Raw genomic sequence first — 24425 nt, 5'->3', positions numbered from 1 at the left:
TTTCCGTACCTCCCAGAATGGGGGCAGAGACTCCTCGGGGTGTGAGGGGGGCTCACATTCCAGGAGGGGACCCAGGCCACACAAGTCAGGAGAGGACAGTGAGCTGCAGGGAAGGGAACCCCAGGAACTACTGCAGCAGGGGGAGGGTGGGGGACACAGCCCAGGGGCCAGGAGGGCTTCCTAGGAGCCGAGCTTCATTCACGTATCAGCTAGGCTCAGAAAACTGCTAAGAGTTTATCTTATCCAGGGGAAAAGAGGGGAGGGATAGTGTTCCAGGCACTCCAAGAGCAAAGGCGAAGAGGCCAGGAATCCCCGGGCACAGGGTGTGAGTCAGGCTGTGGGAGTGGCCAGGAGGTGGGGCCGCCCTTCCGTGCCTCCTCTGGGGCCAGGCAGGAGAGCCAGGTTTATAGCAGCAGCCACTGCTGGGTACTCTGGAGCCAGAGAGTCCCTGGGCAGCATGCTGTGTGCCCTGCTCCTCCTGCCCAGCCTCCTGGGGGCCACCAGGGCCAGCCCCACCTCAGGCCCCCAGGAGTGTGCAAAGGGCTCCACGGTGTGGTGTCAGGATCTGCAGACAGCTGCCAGGTGCGGGGCTGTGGGGTACTGCCAAGGGGCCGTATGGAACAAACCCACCGCGAAGTCTCTGCCCTGCGACGTATGCCAGGACATAGCAGCCGCCGCTGGCAATGGGCTGAACCCTGACGCCACGGAGTCTGACATCCTGGCTTTGGTGATGAAGACCTGTGAGTGGCTCCCCAGCCAGGAGTCTTCAGCCGGATGCAAGTGGATGGTGGATGCCCACAGTTCGGCCATCCTGAGCATGCTCCGTGGGGCCCCGGACAGTGCCCCGGCACAGGTGTGCACAGCGCTCAGCCTCTGTGAGCCGCTGCAGAGGCACCTGGCCACCCTGAGGCCACTCTCCAAAGAGGACACCTTTGAGGCTGTGGCTCCGTTCATGGCCAATGGGCCCCTTACCTTCCACCCCCGCCAGGCGCCTGAAGGAGCTCTGTGCCAAGACTGTGTACGGCAGGTCTCCCGACTCCAGGAGGCTGTCCGGTCCAACTTGACCTTGGCCGACTTGAACATCCAGGAGCAGTGTGAGTCCTTGGGGCCTGGCCTGGCCGTCCTCTGCAAGAACTACCTCTTCCAGTTTTTTGTCCCTGCTGACCAAGCACTGAGGCTTCTCCCCCCGCAGGAGCTCTGCAGGAAGGGGGGATTCTGTGAGGAGCTAGGGGCACCTGCCCGTTTGACTCAAGTAGTGGCCATGGACGGGGTCCCCTCCCTGGAGCTGGGGTTGCCAAGGAAACAGAGCGAGATGCAGATGAAGGCCGGTGTGACCTGTGAGGTGTGCATGAACGTGGTGCAGAAGCTGGACCACTGGCTCATGTCCAACAGCTCTGAGCTCATGATCACCCATGCCCTGGAGCGCGTGTGCTCGGTAATGCCTGCCTCTATCACGAAGGAGTGCATCATCTTGGTGGACACCTACAGCCCCTCCTTGGTGCAGCTTGTGGCCAAAATCACCCCAGAGAAGGTGTGCAAGTTCATCCGTCTGTGTGGCAACCGGAGGCGGGCCCGGGCAGTCCATGATGCCTATGCCATCGTGCCGTCCCCAGAGTGGGACGCGGAGAACCAGGGCAGCTTCTGCAATGGGTGCAAGAGGCTGCTCACGGTGTCCTCCCACAACTTGGAGAGCAAGAGCACCAAGCGAGACATCCTGGTGGCCTTCAAGGGTGGCTGCAGCATCCTGCCGCTGCCCTATATGATCCAGTGCAAGCACTTCGTCACCCAGTACGAGCCCGTGCTCATTGAGAGTCTCAAGGACATGATGGACCCCGTGGCTGTGTGCAAGAAGGTGGGGGCCTGCCACGGCCCCAGGACCCCACTGCTGGGCACCGACCAGTGTGCCCTGGGCCCAAGCTTCTGGTGCAGGAGCCAGGAGGCCGCCAAGCTGTGCAACGCTGTGCAACACTGCCAGAAGCATGTATGGAAAGAGATGCACCTCCACGCTGGGGAACACGCGTGACCGTGGCTGCCAGAGACCCAGAGCCTGCTAGCGAGGCCCATGAGGTGGGTGCTTTCCCCATCCCCATTTCACAAATGAAAAACTGAAGCTCTGAGGAGGGAGGCTGGGAAGGAGCAGAGCTGAAGTTCAAAACCAAGTATTCCTGATCCCGAAAGCCTCTCTCTTAACAACGGTGCCGCACAGCTTTGCCCTTGAAAGCATCTCTACTGGACCGGAACACACTCATGTGCCCCGCTCCCTGACCCAGCCAAGGCTGCCCTCTCATCTCCAAGGCTGAGATGTTGCCGGTGGTCCCATGAGAGCCTGCCCATGGGCTCAGGTGCCCCTTTACCTTCTGCTGGATGGACATCTGGCTGTGAGCCAGGCTGGGGTCATGGCCGGGGTGAGCGGAGGCAGGGGTGGACGGAGGCTTCGAGGGCCCATCACTAGTAGGGTCATTACCTCTTGCCAACAGCCGGGGGTGGGAGTCTGGGTCTCGCTCAGGCCAGAGCTTCTCAACCTGGAGTCCCTGGGGGTGGCTGCCAAAGGTGTGTATGACAAGCACGTATCCCTGGACATTTCCGGGGAGAGGTCTGGGGCTTTGGTCACATTCTCCAAGGGCTGCTGGGCTTCGGAGCAGTCCCCCCCCATGTCTCAGCCACTACAGGGTCCCTCTCTCTCCTTGCACCCCAGACCCTCCGCTGCCCTGGTAATGAGCAGAAGGAAAGTCTTGGGGTGTGCTCAAAGTCAGGAGAGCAAAATATGCCAGGCAAAAGCTCCCGGGAAAAGCCGGAGGAGTCTGGGGTGGCCACCGGGATGTGGAGCAGCGAGGGCAAAGACGGTGAACACAGCCCTCCAGCTGTCTGAGCCTCAGTTTTCTAATCTGTAGAATGGGGATGATCATACCTGCCTCACAAGAATGTTGAGACAATTCACAGAGACGTTCTGGAGCCCCTTTCCCCCGAGACCGGCATTCATGAGTCTGCTGGGACCAGAAAACCCATCTCAGGGGCCCAGCGGGGCACCCAGGAGAGTCTGGCGGTGCAAGCGCTGTATAAACCACAAGCGTTCTCCAAATGCCGTGTGCCGTGTTTTTATTCTCAGGGAAGGCGCAGATCCCAGAGCTGCTACAACAGCCTCCACCTTACCCTGGTGCCTCCACCTCGCCCCGGTGCCCCCTCTGGCAGAAAGCCTCCGGGGGGGGTTTCCATCTGGGTTCAAGTGCTCCTGTGGTTTCTGCTCCTGCTGTTTGGCCCCCCTAAGACACTGTGCCCCCTCCAGGAGAGCCCCTGGGCATGACCCTGCAGTGTCCTTGCAGCTGGCCCAGCATCTGCACGCAGCAGGTGCTCACACATCTGGGAGCCGCACACATGAGTCCCGGGGGTGGAAGCTGGTATTTCACCTGAGGCCCATGGATTAATTCTCCTCTTGAGTAAGAGGTGCGCCAGGCCTGGATGGACGGGATGTGAGCGGGTGCTGTTTTCCAAGAGGCCACACCCGAGCTCTTAAGTAAACGTCGCAGACCTGGGCCACCGCCCCAGGAACACAGGCACACTGGGCCTGAGATTCTGGATGCCTCAGAAGTGGCCCCTATTGGCTGGGCAGGCCTGGGCCCGCTGGGCAGTCCCACAAAAGATAAGGCCAGCAAGGGGTGGTGGTCGTGCCTGGCCACCGGATGGGCCATGGGAAGGCAGCTCTGCACCAGACTCCAAAACACAGGGGCCCGAAGTTGTTGGCCTCAGTATCTGCCTCTTCCCCTGAGACCACCCACCCTCTCCAGGAGCAGCCCCAGAGGCTCTCTGTCTGCCTGCCGGTAGGTGTTCCCACCTGACACACTCTCTGGGACAGGATGGAGCCATAGGCCCTCCTCTGGCTTGGCTGTGAGTCGGGAGGATGCCTACCGGGAAGTATGTGTGACATGACCTGAAATCCCCCGACAGGTCACCTGGGAGAGGCCGGGAGAGGGCAAGCGCCACACCTGCCAGGTGGCCCAGCTCAGCCCACCTGCCCCCACCCCAGAGCTACCTGCAGTGGGTGGTCAGGGTGGGGTGTCCCCACACCCTCTTCCCTACCCACCCCTTGGGCCTGGGTACCAGCTGCTCCCACAGACCCACTGAGCACATGCGTCTCCACTAGATGGTTGCCCGTGATGAACGGAGCTCACTGGCCATGACCCCACAGGCCCAGCTGCACACCCAGGTCATGAGCACGGCCCTGCCCCACCCCCATAGGGGCCCTCTGACCCCTCCACTCACTCATCCGCCACCAAAGCTGTGGAGGCCTGTGGCAGGGTCTCAGTCACCTCCATCCCCTGTGCCCGGAACCAAGCCCGGAACACAGGAGGTGCTCTGCAAGTGCTCGTGGGGAGTGGCTGCCTTGGGGTCTAAAGGCAGAGAGGCAGGAGGAGCAAGGGACGGGCCCACTGGTGCTGACGGCAGCACCACCATTCAGCACTGAGACTGAGGCTTAAGGAGTCCATCCAAATGACTCCATAGCCGCCGCGTTCAGGCTGGAAAAGGCTTTTCAGCGGAGGGTGCTGTAACTGTCCAGCTGTGGGAGAGGAGATACCAGCCCAGGAGAAGAGCAGCTGGCCCTACTGGGCCTAGAAGTTTGGGAGACCCATCCCAGCAAGGATGGGAAATCAAGACAGATGTTGAGCATGGATTTCCCAGAGGTGGTGACTGCGCCGCACAGAGGAGCATCTCTGCCTGGGAGGAGGGAGAGGGCTCCCGCCGGGCTGCCAGAGCCGAGCAAGTACCTGCACCTTCAGCCAGACACATGCTGGGCATTCTTCAGATGCCATCGTAAGGCGGAGGCCTGGGACGTCCCAGAACACCTATGGATGCTGCCCCTCGGGCTTTCTCGGCCACACCAGATGCAGAGGGGCTGTGGGAGCCTGGAAAAGGGCTTGGTGGTCCAGCTGCTTTGTTGTTGTTGTTTTTGTTTTGTTTGTTTGTTTGTTTGTTTGTTTTGGCTTGGGGCTTTTCTTAGAAGTGATGTGTTGTTAGAAACTTCAAACCAGATACAAATATACCCAACGATGTTCTCTCTCTCTGTCTCTTTTTTTTTTTTGGTGAATAATTTATACAAACTCAGGGCTCTCCTGGAAAGCATGGAAGAGCAGTCCGTGGGGACAGCCACCTTCAATGTGGGAACAGTGAGCCCTGAGCCCTGGAGGGGCACGTCAGGGACAGCCCATGCTGTCCACGCTCCCTCCCCCACTTTCACTTCCCGTGACCTCCAGGGATGAAAGTCAAATCTATTCCTTACAACGAGAAGCGGGCCTGGAAAAGCTTCCCCAGCACACCCGAGTGCCAGGCACCACAGGGCCCAGGACAGTGGCCCCTGTGCACCGGACGGGGGTTGCCAGCCTGCCGGGCATGGCTCCAGGAGCTGGGCTGGCTTCCCTCATGGCCCACCTCCCACAGTCACCGTGAGACAGGGACTATTCTTATTCTATTCCCCAGAGGTGGATGCTGAAACCAGAGAGGTTAAATAACTTGCCCGAGGCCACACAGCCAGTAGTGGAGGGAGCAGCAGGCTCAGGGCGTGTGTTCTCTGTCCTCACACCCGCGACCCACGATATGTCCACGTGCAAGTCCTGACCCCACCACTCTGTGGCCTTGGTTCAGGGTCCTCATCCCTAACCTGGGTGACCCCACCTCCCCGGGTCCTCCGCAGGATGGAGGGTGCCCTGTGGGAGGGGCCCGCCGGGTGCATGCACAGAGGAAGGGGCTTTTCTAGGCAAGTCCTTCCATGACACCTCTGTCTTTTCTGTTCTTCCAGCTAGCCTCTGAAAATGCATTTTCATTGTTATATTTTTACAGATCTTTAAGTTACACTGTGATTTCCAGGTCTGGTAAGGCAGATTCACTTTCCCAGAGTACCTTAACCACTCTCTGCTGCTGTTTTCTTCATGTCTTCCTCACCAAATGCCCTTAGGGCGGAAGAGGCGATGGGACCTGGTAAATTAGCCAAATGCTGATGCCAAGGCCCTGAGAGCACGTATGGGTGCAGGGATGCCCAGCTGCTGTGAGCCCCCAGCCACATCTCCGGGGAGCTGGGGTGGAATAGAGCAGCACCAGGGAAGCCCACGCTCAGCTCCAGCCATGCCGCAGGGACATCGTGATGTCACAGGCACCTTCCCCAAAGCCCTAGGCAGGGGGTGTGCCGGCCCAACCCCATGCACACACTCACGCATGTGCCTCAATGCAGTGCACCAAGTCAAAAGTCAACAACTCTGCCACCCCTGGACAAACCCTTACATTCTCCTTTCCTCATTTTCCTCGTCTGTGAAATGGTCACAGCAGCCCCACATCCCTATCCAGCAGCATGGTTACCAGGTTACAGTGACAACTAATCCTGCTAGTGGACATACCCTGTGAGCCAGCCACTCGGCTCACTCAGACTGGTGAAGAGGTGCCTTCCTGGGGTCTGGGCTCCCCTGCGCCACCACCCCCTCCTGTCTAGTCTCATCACAGCAGTGATCCTGACAAAATCTAAGTCCGGGCCAGCTCACAACCTCCTCACTCCCAGTAAAAGCAGATAAAAGCTGAGGCCCTTACCAACCCACCACCAGCCGGGTGGACCCCACCCTGGTGCAGCCCAGCCCCTCCCCTTGTTCTTTCCTCTCCAGCCACCCCGGCCTGGCCTTGCACACACCCCAGGCCCACCCCAGGGCCTTTGTTTGGCCCTAGACATGCTCCTCTCAGTCCCTCCTGCGGTTCAGGCCTTCCCTGCAGAACCCTGCCCAGCATCACCTCCGGCCCCCACCTGCTATTCCCACCACCACTCCACACTTGTCTTAGTCTCTGCTGCCCTCACTGCCCTCGGCCCCATAACTGACTCTACTCGGCTATCTGGCTGTGGCCTGGCTTCCCTTGGAATGCGAGCTGCAGGAGGCAGGAATTCGTCTCAGTGGTCTCTGCCACAGTCCTGTCACCAAGACAGAGCCCAGCATGGAACAGGCTCCATGAGCACAGGATGAGCGAATGAACGCTGGCTCTTCTGGGACCACTTTCAGCCCTCTGGTCTGCCCTTTGTGCTGATGCCGCCCTGCGGTTGTGTGTTTCTGACAAGGCCTAGCTGTGGCCATACCTTCCAGTTATACAATATGGAGCCCATCTTTCAATAAATGAATATGAATCCGTTGTGCTCAGTTCCAGCAGCCGCCCCAGGGACGCTGTGCAAAACAAGGTTGTCCTCCATGGTCCAGGTGAAGCCACGGGCAGATGGGCCCCACCCCAGGACCCACAGATGACGGCTGGATGGAGTCTGGGTATGGAAACTCAGGGAGATGGGTGCCCCCAGAAGAGCCCACAGAGCAGACCCCAGGTGAGCGAACCTGTTCCTGCCCTCTGGCTGCAGTGCAACCTCCATCCCCCCGCCCTCAGGGGTGGTGATATGGTTCGGATGCCTGCCCCCTCCAAAGCTGGTGTTGAAATGTGATTCCCAGCGTTGCAGTCGGGCCTGGTGCGGGGGGGCGGGGGGGCGGTGGTGTGGGATCGTTGGGGAGGGGCCCTCAGGAAAGGCTCTCCGTGCCATCCCCTGCTGATGAATGAGTCCTCCCCTCAGTTCACGTGAGATCTGCCTCCCACTCTCTTGCCCCCTGCCTCCATGTGACACTCCTGCTTCCTCCTTCCCTCCCATCATGACTGGAAGCTTCCCGAGTCTCACACGAAGCAGATCCCAGCACCCCACCTCCTGGGGTGTCCTGCATAACCAATGAAACCCAGACTCGGGCATTTCTTTATAGCAACCCAAGAACGCACTAACACAGATGGTCAGCTGCCAAAGGCAGGAGGAAGTATGCTCCAAGTCCCAGGCGCAGCCCAGCTCCTCGGCCCCTGCCACCGTCTCATCCCGTCCCCATGAGGTGCTCTGGCCCATCCTCCCACTGCTGAAGCTCAGGAGTGAAGTCGGGGACAGTTGGCCCCCCTCTCTTTCCAAACCTCTACAGCCCAGGGAGGGACAGTGCTCTTGCCCGAGGCCCCAGGCCTATGCTTAGATCACATTTAGAGTCTGGCTCCGAAGCAAGGGATGGGATAAAAACAGCCATGTTCAGTGACTCAAAGCCCCCCCCAGAGCCTGAGTCCAGCCACACAAGACTTTGCTCTTCTACCGAGAGGCCCCCTAGGTCACCCTCCATGTGCCCACAATGGATATGCTGCCATTAACGCTACCCTGGAGCTCCGGCTGCGCCAGGATTCTCCCCAGCACCTCTCAAACTCTCCAGATCCAGGCTGTCACCCTGGGAGGCCGTGGCCCAAGGCAGGCGAGGGCTCAATGGAACCACCGCTCTTTCCCTGTGCCCCCCACCACTAAGCCCTTCCTTGGTGGGAGGGGCCCAGCCTCCATGGCTGCCCCAGGAAGCCTGTCCTCAGGGCCCCATCGCTCCAAAACACATCCCCCACTGTTATCCGGGTTCAGGCCCCGCTCAGCACAACTGGGCATTGCCGGAGCAGATGTGGATTCTGGGAGGCCAGACGTTAATGCAGAGAAACACGGGCTTCACTGCCGGTGCGGGAGGGCCTCGCCTCACCACTCGCTACCTGTGTGACCCTGGGCAAGCCACTGACCAGCCCACAGCCTCAGGCATCCCATAAGTACACAAAGAGGGTAAAGGTACCCTCTCTTGTGGGGTTTGTCCAGGGAGGAAATGAGGTGACCGCATCGAGCACACCCCAGGGCCCGGCACACACAAGACACCCAGTACATGTGCTATTTCCATCGGGCTGATGACACCAACCCTCCCTGAGCTTCCTACAGAGGGAGAATGCTGGAGGGTCTTGCTACATTGCTCAGGCTGGTCTCAAGTTACTGGCTTCAACCAATCCTCCTGCTTCAGCCTCCCGAAGTATTGGGATTACAAGTGTGAGCCACACCTGGCCTACAACACTTTGCAACATGGTTCTTAGTAATGGGCCCCCAGGGGCCACCCTCAGCGGGGCAGTGTGTGCTGGGAAGGCCTCTTCAGGAGCTGGACTGTCTCCCTGACCTGCAAAGCCAGCAAAGCCGTCCTCGGGCCTCCCCTGGCTCAAAGCCACCAGCCCCGGGATCCGATGGGCCACTCATTGAGGGTGGGGAAAAATGTCTCAGGAACAGCAGACCCAGGGCTTCCCCCCACAAGGTAAAACACAGGCCCTGGCCCGCAACTCCCGGCCTCCCCACCTTCTCCTCTGGGTCTACAGCCACAGGGCGGCCTTGTGAGTGCATCTGTTTCGGGAGGACATACACTGATGAACAGCAAGCGATGGAGAATGAAAACCACAACACTGCCCACGCCTCCAGCATCCCGGGGCAGAAGACCCAGGGGCTGGCCCTCCTGAGACCTGTGCTCCGGGTCTAACTCCCCAGGACGGGATCATGATGCCTTTGTGCCTCAGTTTCCCTTCTGTAACCAGAAGAGGCTGGACTAGATTGGGGCACAAGCTCAGAGAGCGCCAGGGCCCGGAAGTGTGGACGAGGCAGAGCCTAGGCCCCATCCAATGGGCCGTCCCTGCCTCGGGATGCTTGCCTGCTGCCGCCCCTTCCTCGTTTCTCCAGCGAGGTGGGGACCCCAGGCTGGTCATGTGAGAACTCGCAATTCCTAAATGCTGACAGCTCGGTCCACTGCGGGCCGGGCCAAACCAAACCCACCTGAAGACTGAGCTGGGCCCTCTGCAGGCCTTGAATTTCCCGCTGTAAAATGAGTGTGATTTGGCACCTGGGCCTCCTGACAACCATTTGACGGCTCAGAAGCCTCTGACGTTTCTCTGTGAGACCAAGGAAAGGAGCAGAGCCGCTCAGGTGTCGGGCTTCTAATCCAGGAGGGGTTAGGTATCATTTATTTAGGACAGTGGGAGTAACTGCAAAATGAAGGGGAACGTCTCGCCACTCCCAAACCAGTTTCTCAGACTGCCATTCCCAGGACACGGGGGAAACCGAAACCAGGACAGCAGAAGCGAGTGCACCTTCCACAGGCAAGGCCCTTTATCGGGGTCATCTCATCTCAAGGGGACGTCTCTTGCCCAGGCTGCGGCTGTGGAGACAGAGAGCAGGTGCTTGCCAAAGGCCACACAGGCCAGTCCTGGGGTCTCTGGAGCCGAAGGTCACCCCACAGCGATCAAGGGCCAGGGATTTGGGACATTCAGCAAAACCGAAAACGGAGGCTCCTGCGTGGTGTGCTGTTCCTAGTGGATTCTGGTGTGGGAGGATCTGAGGCTCTGGGTCGTGAGAGGCTGGAGAGAGCAGGACAGGGGAGGCACCCCTGCAGCCTGTGGAATCTGGCACCTCCCGGAACTGCACCAACATCCTGTGTCCCTGAGCTCGGCCCACAGATGGGGCAAGGTCACAGAAGGCCAGGGATCCATTCCACCTTCCTGCTGACCCCGCGGCCCTCCGGGGCACAGCACCCATGCCAGTGTCCTGGGAGCAGAGTGCCTGCCCCTCGGGAGGTGGTGCCGGGCACTGTGTGGTCCAATGTCCCTCAGGCCTTGATTTTAGGGCAGGCCCCAACACGCACTCACTGGGCAGCCTTCCTTGGGCATGTGGGGGCCTGTGTGTGCTGAAGGCATGGTAGGGAGGGCTTAAGGAGATCTCCCATGCAGAACACCCACCACGGTGCCCGCACGCCCTCACTGCTTTGTCCTGCTGAGAGCCCCGGCACAGGGACTCTGGGCTGGGGAGCTGCTGTGAGCCCTGCGGAGTGCGGGGGTCACACGTCACGTTAGCAGAGGGGGGCGCTCCTGCCACCATGAGGAGGTGAGGAGCGGCAAAGAGGAGGGCTCTGTTACCCACACACTGGGTGACTTGGGAAAGCCTCTAGATCTTTCCAAGCCTGCATTTCCTCCCCCAATTCAGAGGACTGTGTGGACCCGGATTTTATAGCCAAGGGGCTGGGCACAGCGTTCACACTGGGTGGACAGAGGCAGTGATGCCAGAGGGACAACGGGATGTTTCCACGGTCACACACAGCTCAGGCCCAGAGAGCCCAGGCTGGAGACAGAGCTTGCCAGTCCTTCCTGCCTGCCACTGCCTGCCATCGTGGGGTTTCCTGAAGGATCTACAATGGCCACCCCACCCTACCCTTCAGACGAGGAGCCAGAGGCTCAGAGGGAGCTTAGAGCTTGCCCAGAGTCACACAGCTAATGACAGCAGAGTCCCCTCGCTGGGCCAAGCCTGCAGCTCTGTCCCACCACCCGCTTTTCACACATGGCCAGGAACAATGTGAGACCCAGGGTGACAGGCCAGGGACCAAGGTCCTGGGAATAGCTGGCAACATCCCACTCTCCGCTGGGTAAGCAGCATCCTCCCAGCTGTGCACAGACCCACGGATGCCAGGACACGGAGCGCCCTGCCATCCTCCTAAGCCACAGCATGCCTGGGCCCTTGCTGAGGAGCAAGGAGTGTGCCTCTTCCCAACACCGCGTGTGATGATGTCACTTTGGCAGCTTGACGCTGGCCGCCACGGTGGGAGAACTTACACCATGAAAACTGGCCAACATTACAAATCAGTGTTGCTGGGTTTGTTTGTTTGTTTTCCTGGAGAGCTGGTTGTTCAACATTCATCAGCACACCACTGTTTCTAAAGAAACAAGCTGAAGAAAGTCATCCACCCCAGAGCTCACCGTGGGGCAGCCTGGGTCTCCCTGAGCACCGACTCATGCCAGGTGCTAGGCCAGGGTAGGGCTGGTCCTGGGCACGAAACTGACCTGTCCCCCAAAGAGTGATCACAAGCCAGCATCTCAGACAGGACAAATGAAATGTCCAGTCTCAGCTGGGTGTGGTGGTGCACACCAGTAACACCAGCACTTAGGGAGGCTGGGATGGGAGCACTGCTTGGGGCCAGGAGTTCGAGCCTCCAGTGAGTTATAAGCATCACTGCACTCCAGCCTGGGTGACAGAGTGAGACCCTGTTTCTAAAAAGCAAAAACCTCCGGCCCCTGCTTTCCACACCACAGGAGAGCTCTAGGCACTGGAATCCAACAGTGAACCACATAGCCAGGGATGCTGCTCCCTTGAGCCTGTCACCTAATGGAGCAGACACACAGGCCACAGATAAAGAAATAATAACAATTATAATGTTCTAACAGGAAACTGCATTAAAATAATATCATCAGCAATAATGCATTTAAGGCCTGAGCGGTTATGATCAGTGCAATGAAGAGAAAACAGCACGGAGTCAGAGCCTCCAACAGGGAGGGCACCTTCCCCTAGCGTGGATGGGTGCGGGGAGTGGCTCGGAGGAGGTGGCCTTCAGCTGGCATCTGAGGAATCAGAGCCAGCAGATCAGGAGAAGTTCCCTGGGAGGGATGAGCTGGGGTGAAGGCTGAGAAGTGGAGAGAGGGGTGGGGGGTAGGGGAGGGGTGGCAGGTGCTGGGGCGGGTACATACTAGGGCCTTTAGAGATCTGGCCATGGAGAGGGGCCGTGGTCTGCGGATCCCCGCGGGGTGCCCTGGAGGCTGCATGGACCTCCGGGTGTGCTGAGAAGCCCTGGGTCAGTTATTAGCAGGCAGTGACGAGGCCTCTGTGCTCTCTGAAGTTCACTTTGGTGTTGGAACGGACTCTCGGGGACAAGGGCAGGCGCAGGGAGACCTGGGTTGTGGCGTCCAGGCGAGAGACGGCGGTGCCACAGGATGGGAGAGGAGGTCCCTGTTCCGGGACATCCTGGAGGAATTGCAGGTGGATGAGATGAGGGAGACACTAAGGAGTGTGTGGGTCTGAGAGATGGCCTGGATGGCAACCTAGCCCAGCACTCACACACAAGGGGATTAGGGCAGGAGCACCAAGGGGGCCTGGGACCACCCCACCTCTGCCCCCAGCTCTGACTTGCACAGCAGGGGGTCTCAAACTTGAGTGTAGACCCCAGCCCCTACACACCAGCCCGGTCCACACACCTCTCTCCCTAGGCAGCCATTGTGGGCCCACGGGCAGTGTCCACGGAAAGGAAGGCCACGGGAGGGGCCTGCCCAGGCTGTAGAAGCGGGCAGGGCATCCAGGACCTAGAGGAGGCTGCAGGCTCCGGGCAGCACATTCCCCCAGCCTGGGGGCCCCTTGTCCCAGAGAACGGCATGGCCCGAGGAGGCTGAGCTGGGCTCTGAGACAAATCAGCCCAGGTGGCCCACTCAAGAGGGCAGTGACAGGAGAAGGTCAGAGAATGGATGGTGACGGAGGCACAGGTTCTGACATGCTGAACCCAGGTGGCGTGTCTGACCACGTTAGGTGGGTGACGATTAACCCGTACAAGATGGTGGACTTGGTTTTCCGAAATGCAGGGCTCATGGAGGAAAAGTAGCAAAGGGGGCACCGACCAGGCTGGACTGCACCGGTGTGGTTCAACCCCTCCCACTTCAGTTCACAGATGAGGAGGTGGGGGTCGACAAGGGAAGTGAGCATCTCAAGGTCGACCATGGGGGAGGGAGCGTGATGCCCAGCCCCGCCCCAGCCCCTGCCCTCCCTCTCCTGCAAGCCCGCCCCAGCCCCTGCACTCCCTCTCCTGCAAGCCCACTGGATTTCATTTGCAAGGTGGCAGGCAGGAGGCCTCAGTGACAGGAGCCCTCCAGACTGGAGGAGGCCAAAGCAGGAACAGGGAGACCAGAGAGGGGCCGCAGTGGCCGTCCCACAGAGCCAGCGGGGGCTCCAGACCCCAGGGCCGAGCCTGTGCACAGTCACTCGCTGTCCCCGGAGCCACTGGAGAGGGAGGCCAGGCTGTGGCTTAGGAGACACACAAAGGGAGTTATGGGGGGCAAGAACCTCACCCCCCACACTCCCATTGCCAAGAAGTACAGTGCTGCTAAAGAATGACCATGAACGACGATGACGAGTATTCCCTGGCGCTGGCTAGAAGCCAGGCCTGGGCTCTGTGTTTTACATCCATTACCACTGGACCCCGCAACCCAGCAACTCTATTATCACAGATGCAGTAAACCAGGCTCAGAGGGGGAAAGTCACTTCCCGAAAGCCACACAGTTAACAAGAGGCAGAGCCAGGACTGGAACTCAGATCTATCAGGTCCACAAGCCTGCGTTCTTAGCCACCTCTCATGCAATCCCTCTAGAGCAGAGAGGAGACACAGGAGAAGCTGTGGGAACAGGGACTCTCGTGGGAAACGCATGGCGTGGTGCACCAGATGACCCAGGTGGGTGCCCCCTCTGACTCACTGCAGAGCCCAGTGCCTTCCCTGGGGCTTCAGCCAACAGCTTGTGCTGGGGACCCAAGCAGAAGTTTAAATGCAAACACTGTGTGGGCAAGGGATGGAGCGAAACAGCCCTAGGGTCCCTGAGCACCCAAGAGAGAACTGGGAACCAGGCCCGGGTCTCCATCTCCAAGGAGGAGGGCAGAACCAAACACCAGTGATGGCAAACATCTGCTGGTACGCACGTGCTGAGTGGGGCACTGGGCACCCTGCTGTCCCCTGCAACGGCAGGCAGAGGAGACAGGCGGGCAGAGGAGGCAAGCGAGAGGCTCCGCGCCAAGCCGAGAACCTACTTAAGCTTTGAGTGGCATCAAGCATGCCGTGCAGGCTCCAGCTTGTGACGGTGGCAGGCGGGCTGGCTGGTGGGGCATGGTGGATAAGGTCTAAGAAGAAGCCTCAGGACCGTGTGGGTCCTGAATCCCACGGAGTCCTCTCCAGGTATGTGACTGCCACTGCCCTAGCTTGCTAGATGGGGCACGGGGCTCAGGGGAGGCAATGGGCTCAGTGGCGTCAGGAAAGAGGACAAGCAGGCAAGGTGTGCAGCCCCTCCAGTGACACCAGACTTCCTTCCATGGCCACACTGGACACCCTGCCTTCCTGAGTCCCATGAGGTCTGCCTCCAGCTGCACATGAAAGAAGCTGCCAGAACCTCTCCAGTGCCCCCACATGTCCACTGGCTGCTGTGCCAACTGGACCTGAGCCCTGGACACTCTCTGAGTCTCAGCTAGCTCTCCTGGGACCTGTGCCCAGCCAGGATATGGCTTGGTGCTTTCACTGCTTGATCTCATCCAAGGCTCCCACAAACCTGCAAGGTGGAGAATATCACTGTGCCCATTTTACAGATGGGGACTCTGAGGCCCAGAGAGCCCTAGATGGGAGATGGGAGAGCCTGCTTGACACTCAAGTCTGCTGACTCCAAAACTGGCGTTGCTGCAGCCATTTTCTACTGGGGCCAGCTGGGTGTTCACAAGCCAAATCCTTGCCCCCCAGGCACATTGTGGACTACATTTCCCAACCTCCCTTGCAGATGGGAGCAGCCCAGTGGCTGAGATCTGGCTGACAGAGTGTGGCTGGAAGTCCTCTGTGTATAATCCATGCTCTCTTGTCTCCCCGGCCTGCTAGACTGGAGGACTCTTAGGCCCTGGTTAGCGGGAGAGGAGTGTGCAGAGCTACAGGATGGAAGGAATCTGAGTCCCTGCATCACAATGCTCAGAGAAGAGCTGCCCAGGAAGCACCTGGCTAGGAATACCCACATTGGACCATTGCACAAGTGAGAAACTTCATCCTAGGAAGCCACTGAATCACTGGGGCTGTTTGCTACAGCAGCAAGCCTACCCTGACATAGCTTGCTGCCTCTTAGATCCAGAGATCTGGCTTCCATCTACACTGTCCTGCAGACCCAGCATGTCTCAGCCAAGTCCTTGGACCAGTGCAGAGAGGCCTATTTGTCTGAGACGGCTTGCCAATCTGCAGTTCAGATGACACCAGCTCGCCTTGGAAGAAGGCTGACTCAAAACACCAGTGTTTACAGAGGAAAAGTGAGAAACTGATGAGCTTCCACAGGAAGAAATCCATGCACTCGAGAGATTATGGGCTCTTTATTGCAACGCTTTGCAAATAGGCAGAGGATTGGATGCCTGGAGCACTGACTGCAAAGGTCAACCAGAGCATGTGGTCCATTCAATACAAGGCCCATTGCTATAACCTCAGAGGCCACCCTTTCTCTGTAACCTGAGTTCTGGCCATGTGTCTCTCACCAAGGCTCACACAGCCTTTCCTGGTTCCTCCAGTGTCCAAGGCCAGCCAGACCCCATGAGAGACCTCTACCCAGCAAAAAGGTCTTCTCCAGATGGAGTCCTGGATCCTAGCTTTGCCCTCAGGACCCTATGGAACTGCCTGTCTCCTGAACCCCAGAAAGCACTCAGCAGTTGGGAACTAGCCTCATACCTTCTCTTCTCCAAACCAAATACCTCTGTTGAAAAAAATGGCTGCAATTCATCCCCTCCCTGTATCCACACCCATTTGCAAAGGTCCTTCCTTTAATAAGTGGAGTTATTTCCCCACTTTTTGAATAAAGGTCAATCTTTGTGATTTGCTTTGGCCAATGAGATTTGCAGAAGTGATCTTACGTGACTTCCAAGTCCATGCCTTGAGACCTATGTGCTGCCGTTCTTTCTTGAACCTCTGCCCAGGTGCCCTGTGTATATAAGCCCAGGCTAACCTGCTGGAGGATAAGAGTCATTTGGCCCAGTCTTCCCCATTGCCCCAGGCAAAGGCCAGCCAAGCCTCAGAAAGAGAGCCACCAAGATAATTGGCTGCTTACTACAGATGTAAGATTGAGCCCAGTCAATAACCAAAGATCCAGCCAGCTGAGCCCAGCCCACATTGCCCATTCACAGAATCGTAAGCTCAATGAATGACTGTTGTTTTAATCTACAAATCTGGTGGGGGGGGGGGTCATTTGTTACGCAGCAAAAGCTAACTGATATATCACCCTCACTGCAACTTCAATGTTCATCCCGCAGAGGGCACAGCTTCCATCACCTCTAATTTCTGAGCTAGACTTTTTGAGACATGATACTATTTTTATAAGGGTCCTCGTGGAGTGGAGACAATGATCTCTGTGACCCCCACAGTCCTGCGCCCTGCCAACTCCACCTCGCGCTTAATGTCCCATCCATTGTCAGTCTCTCAGACTTTGCATGGGTGGTCTGCTCTGAAATACTCCCTCTAACTGTTGGCTAACTTAGATTCATCCTGAAGTCTTGGCGGGAGAGCACTTCCCCCAGGCCAGCCAGCCTGACCCCTGGGCCTGCATTGCTGCCCCGTCCCGTGCACTTCCGCAGCACTTCCTCCCTATGGGACAGCTCATATCACTGAATGGGCATCACCCAGTGACTTGTCTGCCTCCCTGCTAGAACGCGAGCCCCATGGGGACAGAGGCTGTGTCTGCCTCATTCAACATTGAATCTCCGGAGTCTAGGGTACACCTGAAATGTGCTGAGCGCTCAGAAAAACTCAGAAAAAAGGGAAGGAGGAAGGGAAGGTGGGTGTGGTGAGGAGGAGGAGGAAGAAGTGACAGCGTAACTGGTAAGAGCCTCCAGCTGATGGCACCTGACACAGGCCAAGTGCCTGGTAAGGGCTTCATAAACATCTGATGAGCCAGACACCAGCCATGAAGCTCCACTGACCCCAGGGCCCCTCTAGCCTTCTGCTGGCTCACTCTTATGTTTTCCTGTGGCATCAACTGAAAACTTGTTGCCCCTTGGTGGGGCTGCTCCCCCTCACCCTTCATGTGCCCTGGGAGCCTTCAGCGACCCGTTCCCAACTGGGACTGGCTCAGAGGCCTCCGCTTCTCACTCCCCATTGAATTGAAAAGGGCGACTCAGCTCTCTGCATCTTCTGCAGATAGGAGAGGCCTGATGCAGGGACCAGAGGAGTGCACGCCTGGGCAAGCCGAGGCCCAGCAGGGTCAGGGGAAGTGATAGGGGCCAAGGGCCACGTTCCGGGAAGAGCGGGTCCCACAGTCACTGAGGACCTCACAAAGCACCTTTGCCCCATCTCAGCAGACCCGTTTTAAAGGTGGGAGAACAGGATTAGAAACAGCAGAAGACTTGCCCAAGGTCACTCATAAATGGCAGAGCTGAGACTTCCAGAATTAGGGTGCCCATGCTTCTCCCAAACTCAGACAAACACTAGCTTCTACCCCCAAGCTACCATCCGTAGCATAATAAAAACTGCTCCCTGTGTTAGCCCCTGTGCTAAGCAAACTCCATCCAGAGTGGCCCATATGCAATCCTGTCAGCTCCCATTTTGTGGACAGGAAAAGCAGGGCTCCAAGAAAGGCAGGACTTGGGCTTCCTGGCGCTGCCATCTCTCAGCCACTCCACAAGGACCCTTATAAAAAGAGCATCATCCCTGGACAAGTCTAGCTCGCCCTTCATGCCACTCGGCCGCCGGCATAATCCCAGATGCTGCTTGCCCTGTAAACAGGTTTATGGCTCCATCCTTCAGTGCACACTCAAGCGAGGTTTACTACATAACAGAAAACAAAGACAGTTTCCTCGTGTTTCCCACCCCGGGGTGGGGGGCTTCATTAAAATGCATCATATCCCCAGGGCAGAATGTCACTTTAATGCAAAGAGCAGGAGACCCCGCTCTGCTCTTCTGCAGACCACAGGCAGAGGCATGGGTGTGTGGGTGTGTGTGTGCGAGAGTATGTGTGCGTGTGTGTGAATGTGTCAGTGTGTCTGCACACGTGTGTGTGCATGCATATGTGTGTGTCTGAGCATGCACAAGTGTGTGTGTGCATGCATGCATGTTTGTGTGTGTTCACAAGTGTGTACATGCATGCATGTTTGTGTGTGCACAAGCGTGTGTGTACATGCATGCATGTGTCTGTGTGCGCACAAGTGTGTGTGCATGCGTGTGTGTCTGAGTGTGTGCACAAGTGTGAGTGAGTGCATGCATGCGTGTCTGAGTGTGCACACAAGTGTGTGCATGCATGCATGTGTGTGCTTGTGTGTGAATGTGTCCATATGCGTGTCTGTGTATACGCACAAGTGTGAGCATGTGTCTGCATGTGTGTGTGTGTGCATGTGCACATGCATGCACGTGTGGGCGTGTGTGAGTGTGTCAGTATGGAGGAGGAAGCGTGCGTGTCTGTGTGAGCGTGCATGAGTGTGTGTATGCACCGTACACAGGGCATCAGTGGGAGTGGGAGAATGCAAAGTACTGAGTCCTGCCCCAGACTCAGCCCCTCCAGGAACACACATGCTTGGACTTTGCACTCAACTGTGTCCTGGAGGGCAAGGAGGGGGAGCTCTGTGGGCCAAGCACCCTATTGAATACCACGCCTCCTTTGCCCACTGGCTGAAAAAGTGCCTCCCTAAACCCCTGCAATTTCCTCCTCCCTGTCCCCTACGAACGCTGCAGCCAAATGTTTGCTCGAGTCCACAAGCCTAACTTACTGAAATCCCAGGCCTAACTCCCCATCACCTACAGAACAGAGTCCAGGCCCCTCCGGCCGGCACATGAGGCCTCCTTAATCCAACCCTGGCTAGATCACTAGTGCACTCCCCTGCCATCCTCCTCCCACCTAACGCTTTAGCCGCTCTAAACTCCTTAGGGTCCCTCCACACCAGGCTGCTACATGCCTCTGTGTTTCTGCACATCATGTTTCCCTTGTCTGCCTGAAAACTCCTATCCATCCTTCAAAGTCCAGTTCAGACATCATCTCCTCTGAAATGCCCAATTGCCCTCTTCTGCAGGGCCCTCAACACTGGATGTTGGGCCCCTATCCATCCCTTCCTCTTTGTCAAGGTTGGTCAATCCTAAGACCTGGCAAAGTGCCTAGCACAGAGGGCATGCTCAAGAATGTTTACAAAATTAGGTTATCGAGAAACGATTCTTCACATCTTGTGTTCAATCTTGGTGCCCCAGCAAGGCCTTCAACTGATAACTTCTGACCATCGTTCTAGATGCCTTCATGCCTGTGTGTTCAACAAAATAAAGGTCCCCAAAACAGGTCCACATCCTAATGCTCACAGCGCAAGCATATTACCTTACCTGGCCAAAGGGACTTTGCAGGTCTGATTAAGGACCTAGAAATGGGAAGATTATCCTAGATTATCCAGGTGGGCCCAGTGTCACCCCAGGGGTCCCTAAAAGGCAGAACCTTTTCTGGCTGTGGTCAGAGAACAATGTGGGACAACAAAAAAAGGGTCAGAGGGAGGTGACGCTGCTGGCTTGGGAGGGAAGGCCTGAGCCACGGATGGCAGGCAGCCTCTGCATTCCAACTCTAGAAGCTGGAGAAGGCAAGAGAATGGATTCTTTCCTAGAGCCCTGGGAGAGAAACGACCCGGTCCACATCTTGACTGGAGCCCAGTAGGACCTGGTTGAACTTGTGGCCTCCAGAGCTGTAAGATGACACACCTGTGTTGCTTCAAGTCCTATGTTTGTGGTCATTTTTACGGCAGCCATGGAAAACAGGACATCCTGGCCACCAGCCTATGCACTTACCAAGGCGTGCCCCAAAACCCCGGCAGCTCCCAGCCTCCTGAAATGCCTACCTCGTTTTTACTTTAACTCATTACTTTGAATTTTGTCCTGCTTGTCTCTTTAATCACCTAGCCTTGCTTCTCATGTAAATAAGACTCTCTCTAGCTAGGAAAGCCGGACAAACTCCAACTGACCCCTTAATTTACAAGACACTAAGGGCTCCTCACCCAACCCCGTTTTGTGAGGAGTTGGCCTGGGTAAACAGATCCTCAGCATTTCAAAGGAGCGCAATTAACTGATAAGGTACCAACACCAACCATGTATGAAGTTCCCAGGAATTTTCTCCAAAAAATAACAACATAAAACCTTGAGTTCGTGTCCAGCATAGACCCTATATCTAATTATAATGAAAGATTTAGAACCTTGCACCTGGTACCGTTGCTCTTCTTGTAACCATTTGTCTTTTAAGTTGTTTATCACTCTGTAACCATTTTGATTCTTTTGATTCTTGCATGTTTTTACTTCTGTAGAATTATTACATTTGAGTCCCCCTCCCCTTCCTAAACCTAGGTATAAAAGTTAATCGAGCCCCTTCCTCGTGGCCGAGAGAATTTTGAGCATTAGCTGTCTCTTTGGCCGCCGGCTTAATAAAAGACTCTTAATTCATCTCAAAGTGTGGTGTTTCCTTAACTTGCCTGGGTACAACACTCCAAGCCATTGCCCCGCGGCTCCCACTGCCTAGACTGCCTTCCTCTGTTCCACTTGCCCTTCCCTGCCTGGAAAACTTCTATTCATCCCTCAGAAGCTATTTCCAAAGTCCCTCCTAGGGGAACCTATCCCAGCATGCCCGGGGGTAGGACGGGGCTCCTTACCACCTAAGTGCAGCCAGGTCTTGCCATGTGCAACTGTGGGCTACCACCCTGGGTCCTCTGTTCTTCTGCTGGTTGGCAGGATCCTGGTTGGCTGGCCCCAGTGTTCTGTGCAGTCTGAATTGTTGATGCCTAAAGCAGCGCCTGCATCCGTTAATGGGATTTACAGAATAGCAAGCGTATCCTTGTCTCGCCTTGTCGAGCTTTCCTTTAGCTGGAGATACATTCACACCAGGAAAGGAGGCTGATCTCACATGTATCTTACTACCTCTTCCCTAAATGGCTCTTTCGTCTCTACATCCTCCAGTAACATCAGCAACAGCCTCAGAGACAGGCCCTCCACACACCCAAAGCCACGCCAGAATCCCAGCACCCTGCAATCCGATAGGCAGGAGGAAAAGGGCACACAGAAGAGCTTACCCTAAGAACATAGAGACGTGGGGCAGGGTATGTACAAGGACACCCACCACAGCTCCCTTTACATCTCGGCATTAGTGAAAATCAGAAATGACTCAGAGGTCTAAAAATGAGGACTTGGTTAAATAATTAACACCTCCTTCATGTGAAACTATATTATACAGCCATTAAAAAATAGCAGTTGTGGGTCAGGTGCAGTGGCTCACGCCTGTAATCCCAGCACTTTGGGAGGCCGAGGCAGGCAGATTACCTGAGGCCAAGAGTTTGAGACCATCCTTGCCAATGTGGCAAAACCCCATCTCCACTAAAAACACAAAAATTAGCCAGGCATGGTGGCGGGCGCATGTAGCTACTCCGAAGGCTGAGGCAGGGGAATCACTTGAACCCAGGAGGTGGAGGTTGCAGTGAGCCAAGATCACACCACTGAACTCCAGCCTGGGTGACAGAATGAGACTCTATCTCAAAAAAAAAAAAAAAAAAAAGCAGCTGTGAAAATACGGAGGATCATAAGAACATGTTTAATACATAATTCAATTGGAATTCTAAATTTATAAATCACGTACATATTTGCATCTTAAGACTAGTGAGAATATTTATCTCAAATATGAATAGTTCGAATCTCATGAGGTGGGGTTAACACAGGGGATTGTTTTTACGCCGTGTTTATGATGATCACAAATTATAATTACAGTATATAAAGATGTGGTACTTTTTGAGGGAGAATTTTTCTGGAGAGGGATTTGGCCCTGCCCATATTAAGAATGTCTTTAAGAAGAGATTCTTAAAGCACTACCCAGTACCTTAAGGCACTACCCAGTACCTTGGTTTGAGGAAATGGGAGGCGGTTAACACTGAAATTCACGCATGATGCCTCGTGGATGTGGATTCCATTCTGAAAGCCCCTGGGCTCATGGTGGTCCCAGAGCTTCTGCCAGGTGCAGAGAACACAAAAACCCAGACCCTAGAGACAAGGAGGTGCCTGCCATGGTGGGGACAGGATGGGGGCTGTGGCGGAGGCCCTGGGAGAGCCCAGGGGTGGGGCAAGACCCAGCCTGGGTGGGAGGAGGGATCCAAAAGGGCTCCCATGGGGAAAGGACAGCTGAGCCCAGGGGGACAGGTGAAGCAGCAAGGGTGCTTGGGGAGACCCAGCAGGAGGAGCAAGACCTGCAGGGAGGGCCCCCGCCCCAGGGGTGGGGAGGGGCTGATGGGAGAACTCTGGAGGGAGAATCCTCTAGAGCTGGGAGGACCAACCCTGAGAGACGATTCTCAGCTGATCACAGGTGCAGAATCAAATCATCACCCGACATTTCAGGCTCCCCATCTCCACTGAGCATCTGTCCCCCAGTTCTTAAAAAAGCATCTGAGACGATCTTATGGGCTAGGAAGCTGGCTGTGAGCTCAGAATGCACGGGGTCGTCTGGATGGGCAGGGCTGTCACTCTGCCAGGGAGAGAAGCCAGACCCCCCTGCACACTGTCAGAAAGCTAAATTCAGAACAAACGCTCTGGCTGGAGCAGAAGCTGCCAGCCTCACTCAGAAGAAGTTGAGACCCCTTTCTGCCCCAGTTTGCTTTTTCCCTGAGAACTAACTCCAGGGGGTGGCCATCGGCCTGCAGGAGCAAGGCCGAGTGAGCAGGATGCAGGGGAGGAAAGGAGAGTGACACGCGGGTGGCACACAACACCAGGGTGAGCCCCGATGGGCCGTGACACACTCCGGGCAGCTCCTACAGCAGAAGCTGGGACCCAGGCCCAGCCAGAGTACAGAGGGGCAGAGTGTCCCTACCACCTCCTGGGCCAGCAGCTGCATTTCTGCCACACAGCCTAGGATTACAGAAGGATGGCTGGCATCTGCTGCACAGACTTGATAGACCTTGGCAGCATACATGCTAGGGATGGTGGGGGTGTGCTGGGCTGGGAGCAGACACAAAGAGGCATCGTGGCTGTAGCAGTGTTGAAAGCACTATGTAGGGAGGGCAGCTTTAAGAGAAGGGAGGCTGTGGTGTCTGGGAACCAGGGGTGAATCTCCTTCCAGGAAGTCTTACATGACTACCACTTCCTCTGCTCCAATGGAGTAGGGGTGTCTAAGGCTTCCCTGGTTCTTTCAGCCCCACCATACGGTAGATTACATGCCACTGTCATGGATTGGTTCCTTGTCTGTACCCCTACTAAACTCTGAGTCTTAGATATCAGTTATCATAGCTCACCCCACCCCAGAGCCTAAATGGATGGAGGGAGGAAAGGCAGGTAGGTGGATGGAGGGGTGGATGATGGGTGGATGGTTAAGATGATGGATGAGTGAATGAAGAAATGGATGGGTGGATGGATAGCAAATGGAAGGAAGAATGAGAAGGAGGGAGAGAGGAGCAAAGGTGGGAAGGGTGGATAGAAATGAGGAGAGAAGATAGAGGAATGGAAGGAAGGAAGAAAGCATTGATGGTTGATCAGATAGGTGGATGGATACATGGGAAAGGGGGAGCAAGGGAAGGAAAAAGGCAGAAGGGAAGAGAGGAAAGAGAAAAAGAAGGAAAGTCAGTAGGCAGAGAAGCTAGAAGCAGTGACAGAGGGGTCCCTGGAGCCCGGACCCAAGGGAGGGCAGGTATTAAAGTCAAGATGGAGAGAAGAGGCCAGGCGCAGTGGCTCATGCCTGCAATCCCAGCACTTTGGGAGGCCAAGGTGGGTGGATCACGAGTTCAAGAGACGGAGACCATCCTGGCCAACATGGTGAAACCCTGTCTCTACTAAAAATACAAAAATTAGCTGGGCGTGGTGATGCATGCCTGTAGTCCCAGCTACTCGGGAGGCTGAGGTAGGAGAATCGCTTGAACCCGGGAGGCAGAGGTTGCGGTGAGTCGAGATCACACCACTACACTCTGGCCTGGCGACAGATTCAGACTCCGTCTCAAAAAAAAAAAAAAAAAAAAAAAAAGGATGGAGAGAAGAGGCTGCTGGGCCCAGGGGCTAGGA

The 24425-nt window shown here is 56.4% G+C and overlaps 2 protein-coding genes across 9 annotated transcripts in view, besides 7 other annotated features; one reads left to right on the top strand and one right to left on the bottom strand.

Annotated features, from left to right (window-relative positions):
- The window catches only part of SORCS2 (sortilin related VPS10 domain containing receptor 2), a 550290-nt gene that overhangs the window by 307491 nt on the left and 218374 nt on the right, over positions 1–24425 (bottom strand). The gene's annotated exons all lie outside the window — the stretch shown is intronic.
- Positions 407–5052, top strand: PSAPL1 (prosaposin like 1). The gene has a single exon (NM_001085382.2). It carries the CDS (start codon positions 458–460, stop codon positions 2021–2023), a length of 1566 nt encoding a protein of 521 aa, NP_001078851.1. The 5' UTR covers positions 407–457; the 3' UTR covers positions 2024–5052.
- Positions 3938–4481: an enhancer, noted in NCBI's record as "H3K4me1 hESC enhancer chr4:7432583-7433126 (GRCh37/hg19 assembly coordinates)". NCBI's record gives its function as "activates a minimal SCP1, AML or CMV promoter by ChIP-STARR-seq in naive H9 embryonic stem cells {active_cell/tissue: H9 hESC(naive)}" and the evidence as "EXISTENCE:reporter gene assay evidence [ECO:0000049][PMID:30033119]".
- Positions 5570–6113: an enhancer, noted in NCBI's record as "H3K27ac-H3K4me1 hESC enhancer chr4:7430951-7431494 (GRCh37/hg19 assembly coordinates)". NCBI's record gives its function as "activates a minimal SCP1, AML or CMV promoter by ChIP-STARR-seq in naive H9 embryonic stem cells {active_cell/tissue: H9 hESC(naive)}" and the evidence as "EXISTENCE:reporter gene assay evidence [ECO:0000049][PMID:30033119]".
- Positions 6114–6657: an enhancer, noted in NCBI's record as "H3K27ac-H3K4me1 hESC enhancer chr4:7430407-7430950 (GRCh37/hg19 assembly coordinates)". NCBI's record gives its function as "activates a minimal SCP1, AML or CMV promoter by ChIP-STARR-seq in naive H9 embryonic stem cells {active_cell/tissue: H9 hESC(naive)}" and the evidence as "EXISTENCE:reporter gene assay evidence [ECO:0000049][PMID:30033119]".
- Positions 6658–7201: an enhancer, noted in NCBI's record as "H3K27ac-H3K4me1 hESC enhancer chr4:7429863-7430406 (GRCh37/hg19 assembly coordinates)". NCBI's record gives its function as "activates a minimal SCP1, AML or CMV promoter by ChIP-STARR-seq in naive H9 embryonic stem cells {active_cell/tissue: H9 hESC(naive)}" and the evidence as "EXISTENCE:reporter gene assay evidence [ECO:0000049][PMID:30033119]".
- Positions 7745–8288: an enhancer, noted in NCBI's record as "H3K27ac-H3K4me1 hESC enhancer chr4:7428776-7429319 (GRCh37/hg19 assembly coordinates)". NCBI's record gives its function as "activates a minimal SCP1, AML or CMV promoter by ChIP-STARR-seq in naive H9 embryonic stem cells {active_cell/tissue: H9 hESC(naive)}" and the evidence as "EXISTENCE:reporter gene assay evidence [ECO:0000049][PMID:30033119]".
- Positions 12209–13174: an enhancer, noted in NCBI's record as "H3K4me1 hESC enhancer chr4:7423890-7424855 (GRCh37/hg19 assembly coordinates)". NCBI's record gives its function as "activates a minimal SCP1, AML or CMV promoter by ChIP-STARR-seq in primed H9 embryonic stem cells {active_cell/tissue: H9 hESC(primed)}" and the evidence as "EXISTENCE:reporter gene assay evidence [ECO:0000049][PMID:30033119]".
- Positions 20154–20832: an enhancer, noted in NCBI's record as "OCT4-NANOG-H3K4me1 hESC enhancer chr4:7416232-7416910 (GRCh37/hg19 assembly coordinates)". NCBI's record gives its function as "activates a minimal SCP1, AML or CMV promoter by ChIP-STARR-seq in primed H9 embryonic stem cells {active_cell/tissue: H9 hESC(primed)}" and the evidence as "EXISTENCE:reporter gene assay evidence [ECO:0000049][PMID:30033119]".

The sequence above is a fragment of the Homo sapiens genome, chromosome 4, assembly GCF_000001405.40.
Source record: "Homo sapiens chromosome 4, GRCh38.p14 Primary Assembly".
In the NCBI taxonomy this organism is placed as follows: Eukaryota; Metazoa; Chordata; class Mammalia; order Primates; family Hominidae; genus Homo; species Homo sapiens.
Note: the sequence above shows the minus strand (reverse complement) of the source record. Positions and strands in the feature narration are given on the sequence as shown.

Coding starts and splice junctions, on each gene's coding strand:
- PSAPL1 (NM_001085382.2), top strand. CDS start 458: ATGCTGTGTGCCCTGCTCCTCCTGCCCAGCCTCCTGGGGGCCACCAGG.